General features: G+C 42.1%; 1 annotated feature.

The window, feature by feature from the left end:
* Nucleotides 2,532–3,031: an enhancer, noted in NCBI's record as "H3K4me1 hESC enhancer chr2:49999711-50000210 (GRCh37/hg19 assembly coordinates)". NCBI's record gives its function as "activates a minimal SCP1, AML or CMV promoter by ChIP-STARR-seq in primed H9 embryonic stem cells {active_cell/tissue: H9 hESC(primed)}" and the evidence as "EXISTENCE:reporter gene assay evidence [ECO:0000049][PMID:30033119]".

Here is a 7,256-nt window from a genome sequence, read left to right on the forward strand (position 1 = left end):
AGCTTCGTCAGGAGTTTGTAATACCCCCAGCACTTCCCGTTTATGAGAGAATTGAAATCTAGGCTTCTACTATAAGATTTCCCACAGGTTCTTTTTTCCTTTATTCAAGAAGTATTATCTGGGGGAATTGAATAAAATTATATTGATATTATTTTTAATTGACAAATTATAATAGGCTGTATTTTTCATGAAAGTACCATCCAGAGGTGAGACAAATGTTAATAGGTAGGATTAAGGGAATCAAAAAGCAACGTAGAAGATCTAGGGACTAGCAACTGTGGGAAGCTCTGCACCTCTATAAAGGGTCTAGCTTTCTAGGACAGTCTTTTCCCTTATTCAATCCCGATTTCATCCAGCCCCATCTTCCTCCACAGTGCCTGAAACTAAGGTCAGCGTATAGCCGGTATTGAGATGCAGCCTTTTTCTCCCCATTTCTAACTCCTCCTCTCTTAGCTCTTAGTTGATGCATCTTTTTTCAAACTAGTTTGATTCCCCCAATAATAAGGTTTAACAGAATTTTCTACCTCTCATATTGCAAAATTACTGCATTATACTATTGACTGTTATCACACCCAGATGGTAGTATTAATTAATCAATACTTATAATAGGAAGATGAGGTATACAGAAACCGCTCAAGGGCACCCAGCTAATATATAATAGAATAGGTGTTCAGTGACTACCTTTTGTCTATAAAGGAAAGCCCTAACTCTTTTCATTAAAAAAGCCTTCACAACCCATCCCATCCCCTATCATGTTTCCCCTTGACCTCTAGCCACTTTCTTTATAAATTGCTATAGACTGAATTGTGTTCCCCAAAATTCATATGTTGAAGCCCTAAGCCCCAATGTAATGGTATTTGGACATGGGGGCTTTGAGAGGTAATGAGGGTTAGATGAGGCCAAGAGGGTGAGGCCCTCATGATGGTGTCACAGGATCCTTGAGGTGTCACATTTCCAGCTGGAAACCTCTGTGGCCAGTGTGCCTTTGCCTGAGTTATGGTCAGCATGCTGGACTTGTTCTACCCACTTAGCCCAGCAGGCTGCGCTCAGCTCACACTACTGGCTCAAATCCCACGCCTGCCAAGGGTGAGTCAGGCACAGAGCAGTGAGGGGTGTGTGAGCAAGTGCAGGGTCTGGCCACTGTGCACAGCCAGGTACGCCAGCTGCAGCAGGGTGGGCAGCTCCAGGCAACAACTCCATACAAGGCTGTGGCTGGACCAGGGATGCTGCAAGCAGCTTCAGCTGCAGGCACTAGGGAACACGATGGTGCCCAGAAGCCTGGAAACACCAGGAAACACAGAGCCCCAAAGAGGGCATAACAGCCCTGGCTCAGGGAGCACCTAAGTCTGGACTCCCCAAAGAGCAACAGCTCTCTCCTTCTTATAGCTCACAAGGTGGCAAGCAGGGGACATGTTTCAGCACTATTTGTGTTACAGCTCTTTCAGTATCGCCATTCGGTGGGTTTGGGTTCTTGTCCCACATCCAGGAAGAATGACGTACATGGACAACTGGAGGGTAGCAAGGTGGAGAGGAGCTTTGTTGACCAACAGAACAGCTCTCAGGAGACCTAAAGTGGGTAGCTCCTTTCCACAGGTACATTGTCCCAATGAGAATCCAGCACTCAGCAGAGAGGAGACCTGTGGTGGGTAGCTCCTTTCTGCTGGCAGGTCATCCCGATGAGTTGAGGAAACCCTATGTGGGTGGCTCCTTTCCATAGCTGGTAGCCCTGACATCTGTGTAAGTCTGGCTGAGTCCAGGGGTTTTTGTTTGTTTGTTTTGAGATGGAGTCTCGCTCTGTCACCCAAGCTGGAGCACAGTGGTGCATTCTTGGCTCACTGCAACTTCTGCCTCCCGGGTTCAAGCAATTCTCCCTGCCTCAGTCTCCCAAGTAGCTGGGATCACAGGCACCCAGCACTGAACCTGGCTAATTTTTGTATTTTTAGTAGAGACAGGTTTTGGCCATTTGGCCAGGCTAATCTCAAACTCCAGACCTCAGGTGATCTGCCCACCTTGGCCTCCCAAAGTACTGAGATTACAGGCATGAGCCACCACACAGGCCTGAGTCCAGGGATTTTATGGGCTCAGAAGGGAAGAAGTGCATGCTGATTGGTTCAGGGGCAGCCATGGGCAGGCCTGGAAAAAGCATCATCCAACAGTCTGAATGGTCATCAAGGAAGTCCTCGCTGAATGAGAAGGTCAACCAGAACTGGCACCCAGGTCCCCAGGCTTCAGGCCATTTCTGACCAAAGTGGAGTTTCGACAGGGACCGTACCTTCCCGTCCTGTCTGCCTCCCACCATAGAGGGTTGCCTGCAGGCCCATGCCAAGCCTCCCTCAGTGCCTCCCCACCAACATAACAACCCGCCTCCCAAAGTCTGGCCAAAGTCCAGAGAGGACCAACTCCAGAGGGACCAGGGGACTGGCGTGTCAGTGCCATCCTGAGTGCATGCACACCCAGCCGTGTTTCGACAGCATCCAGGGTCAGCTGCAAGTTTGCTCTGCACCAGAGAGGACACAGGGTGTTGGGAGGCCTGGGAGCAGGAGCAAGCACTTCCGAGCCTGAGGGAGGAAGGGGGTGCTTCCCACCCAGACAGCACGCAGGAATGCCTGGGTCTGGAGCCTCAGTTGGGCAGCTGCAGCTGTGCCCACAAGTACAGGCCTCCTGCCCCACCAACTCCCTAGGGGGCATGACTCCCACCTGTGCTGAACCCTGCAAACTCCAGGGAGCCTGCTGCCCCAGCAGGACCTCCCCTGCTGAAGCTGGCATCCCTGCAGGCTGCTCCAAATGGGCCGCTGCAACCATCATTGGGATTAATGGCTTTACAAAAGGAAGAAAAGAGAGATTGCTAGCTCCAGCATGCAAGGACATTGCAAAAGGTGCCACCTGCAAGCCAGGAAGACCCTCACTAAAAGGGGAATCACCTGGCACATGGATCTTTGACTTCCTAGCCTCCATAAAATAAATTTTTGTTGCTCATGTTCTCAGCATATGGTGTTTCATTATAACAACGTGACCTAAGACCAATGTGGTATGCCTTGCTACAAAAAAAAACTATCGACCTTTCTCTGAATGTGAAAGTGATTAAAACATCATACCTTTGCTTAGTTTTCCTCTGCTTTCAGTGTTCTTTAACCACCTGCGCTTCTTCCGTGCAACCTCCCCACATTCGCCCTGAACAAGCAGGCACACCTATTATGCCTGGTAATACTCTAAATTGCTTTTCAAAATTCAGCTCTCTACTCCCTATAAGCCCTTCCTCAAATATTTCAGGTAGAAGAAATCCTTTCCTTAGCACTATTCAAGGAGCTTTATTAGGGAGATAGATACTCTGTTTCTCCAGGGATTTAGACTGATTCATCTTGGCTTATCAGCATCTAGCAAGGTTTTTGCCATCTAGAAAGTTTCCAACATTTATTACATTAATGAGATGATGAATGAAAGAAGGAAAGAATGTAAATATTTAAGTCAACCAGAAACTGAACAAAGAAACTTGTATTTCTGGAGTATATTATTTGAAATAGTCAATCTTTGATGAATAAATTTCTGTTTAAGACTGAAATTGGACCTTATATTCCATTTGTGTTAGCCTGCTACTATTTAATGGCACTGTGTATATAAGATATCAGATTTTAAAAACAACGAAATATTTCAAAATATTTCCCAATTTTTACTTTTGTGTGCATTACAATGTGTTTATTTTTCTAAGAATGCTTTCAGAAATGTGATATCTCAAATAACAATGAAACTCTTCTGCAATAACATGCCCACAAAATCAAGAATTTCGCTATGTCACACCTAATCAGTGCTTCACAAATGAGGACTTTCTACATTAGAATCTCTTGTGATTAGTAATAAAATTTAGATAACTGGAATTCACCCCAGACCCCCTACATCAGATCTTTGGGGAATAAGCCCAGAAATTTTCACTTTAATACGTTCATCAGTGAATTTCCAAAAACACTTATGTTTTCTTGGATGTCAGCATAGATTGCTTTCTTATCTCCTTTAGGTTTTTATTGACAGCAAATACGTCTCAAAGATATCTTCTCTGATCACTCTGTTTGAAACTGTAACCTCCCTATCTCAATATTTTATGTTCTTTATCCCCCTTCATTACCTTATTTTTGTCCCTAAAATTGATCACTCTCTGAAACTCTCTGTATATTGCTCATTTATTGCTTTGTCTGCCCTCTTCCAACCCACTTCTTGGCAACTAGAATATAAACTATGAGAACAGGTATTTTTAAAGACTATGTTTTTCTCACTGTTGTATGTCCATTACCTAGTAAAGTCCTTGACCATTATAGTGTTCCATAAATATTATTAAATAAATGAATCACTCCATCAAGTGTTTTTGAGTTCACATACTACAATATTAACATTCGTTTACCTCCTTTCTCCCATCAGAGAGAGATCTCAACTCTACCTCTCCCAGAAAAAGAAAAAAAAGCAGTGTATAATTTGGATCTGTAGATGAATGTTTCTTTGAAATATGTCTTGTGTTCTTCACACTACAACCTAGCAGAAAGCTTTTACTCTCTCTCTTCATCATCACCATCTTTGTGTATTTCTTTGATGTCAAACTCTAAGGTCAAAGATGGGGTGAGGATGAAATTAAAAGAGAAAAATCAAGAAGTGTCAACCTTAATGGTAGCAATAAATAATGTTTGAAAAGCTTCCTAAGAATAGATGACACAGTCTGTGTAGGAGTATGTAAATGATATGCAAATCAGAAACTAATTTTAATGCAAATGCATATGTGGTCCTCCTAACTATTTCATGCACCTGGATAGAACCCCTAGGAAAACTCTAGTGGAGAGAAATATGCTCTCAGCAATGTTTTAATGACTGGGTGGATTGGAGAGCAGAGAGTACCACACCTGGCATGCATTAGAGGACCTGCTAGTTAGCTGCTAAAAACAAGCTTTTATATATGTAATATTGTTTTGCAGCTTGGGTGAGCTACCAATTTGAATTGCACACACCTTAGCGTACCTGTGCTATAAATGGGTATAACATTGCTTTGCCTCAACCTAGTAGACAGTGTTTATCAGCTAACACATTGTTTAAAGCAGGCATGTAGAGACATTTTTGGAGCAAAGGTACTGCTAAATATAAATTATCCCAACTCAGTGCTATGGTCATATTTCATTATGAAATATTTCACTATGTCTCACTGGGTAATTTGCATCCTCTGAGTAATATGAATTTTATAAAATGGAGAAAAACTGTTGTAAAAATAACATTTAAGGTAAAATAAGTTTGCCACTGTTGTTTTGAGAGCTTAAATATCATCAAAATTGACAGGAGAATAAAAAAAGGCCAAAAGGAAATGTCTCAGTTCAAAGACCATATATGGGAAACAGAGAGACCAAGTACTATTTTGTCTTATGACAGCACTGCATAATTTGTCTGTTCATTATGGAGAAAGAAAGAGAATTGTATTAGGTCACACTTTTTTTTTTTTTTTGAGACAAAGTTTCACTCTTTCTCCTCTGCCCTCTGGGTTCAAGTGATTCTCCTGCCTCAGCCTTCCAAGTAGCTGGGGACTACAGGCTTCCACCACCTCACCTGGCTCATTTTTGTATTTTTAGTAGAGACGGGTTTTCACCATGTTGGCCAGGCTGGTCTCGAAATCCTGGCCTCAGGTAATCCACCTGCCTCAGCCTCCCAAAGTGTTAAGATTACAGGCGTGAGGCACTGCACTCAGCCATATTAGACCATTCTTAAATTACTGTAAAGAAATACCTGAGACTGGGTGATTTATTTATTTTTTAAAGAGTTTTAACTGGCTCACAGTTCTACAGATCGTACAAGAAACATAGTGGCCTCCACAGAAGCAGAGGCCTCAGGAAGCTTCTAATCATGGTGGAAGGCAAAAGGGAAGCAGGCTCATCACATGGTGAAAGTAGGAGCAAGGAGGGGGTCGGGGAAGTGCTGCACACTTTTTAACAACCAGTCTAGAGAAAACTCACTATAGTGAGGACAGCATCAAGAGGATGGTGCTAAATCATTCATGAAGGATCCACCCTCATGCTTCAATCACCTCTCACCAGGTTCCACCTCCAACAGTGAGAATTACATTTTAACATGAGATTTGGGTGGGGCAAATATCCAAACTATATCAATAATCATGAAAAATTATCACCGTACATTTCTACAGCCTTTTATTATTATCAGTGCTCTTCAGACTATTGTCTCCACTGACTGTTGTGACAACAACTAGATATGGCTCCATTATGACCCCTATTTTATTTTTTAAAGTATTTTTAAAAGTAAACCAAACTTTTGTTTCTGGCACCATGACTGGCAGTGTGCTCTAAAGGGCCTTCCTGCATCAATACATCATGTATTGTATAGAATACATGTTTTATGGTATCACTGTTCTAACAGAAGTAACTCTTAACATCTCTTATTTTCATATGGGAGATGCAGGATTTTTCTGAGAGCCAACTACAATGCCATTGGTGTGATCAGGATAATGAGCTTTGAGCTAATTGTGTGGTAGGGCAGTTACCTGTACTGTTTCAGGTCAAGGGAGATGGTTAATTGGACCCAGTTTCTAGGTAGAATCTTCTGGCTTCCAGCAGACACCGAAGCTGAAGCAAATATAACTTCATGCTACTCCAAGTGTGGTCTGAGGACCAAGAGCAGAGGCATCATCTGTGAGCAGGTTAGAAACCCAGACTCTTAGGTCCCAACCCAGATCTATTGAATTATAATCTATATTTCAGTAAATTATTCAGGTGGTTCTGATGGATATTATAGTTGGAAAAGAATTGTTGTAAACAGAAATATTTCTTAATATAGGCCCAAAAGACAGCAAATGTAAAGTAATGATCTCAGAGTTACAAACTACAAAGCACTCAAAATAAGAAATATATGGTAATTCTATTTTTTATTTATGAACCTCCATGCTATTTGCCATAATGGCAGCACCAATCTACATTCCCATCAACGCTGGGTACATTCCTTTTCTCCATACCCTCACCAATATTTGTCATCTCTTGACTCTTTGATAAAAGCCATCTTAATGAGTGTAAGGTTATATCTTAAAGTCATTTTGATTTGCACTTCCTTAGTGATTAATGATGCTGAGCATCTTCTCATAAAACTGTTGACCATTTTTATTTCTTCTTTGGAGAAATGCCTATCCAGGTCCTTTACCCATTTTTAAATCAGGTTATTTGCTTTTCTACTATTGAGTTGTATAAGTTCTTTGTGTATTTTGGATATAAATCCCTTATCAGTTATAT

Source organism: Homo sapiens, chromosome 2 (genome assembly GCF_000001405.40).
Source record: "Homo sapiens chromosome 2, GRCh38.p14 Primary Assembly".
Taxonomy (NCBI): Eukaryota; Metazoa; Chordata; class Mammalia; order Primates; family Hominidae; genus Homo; species Homo sapiens.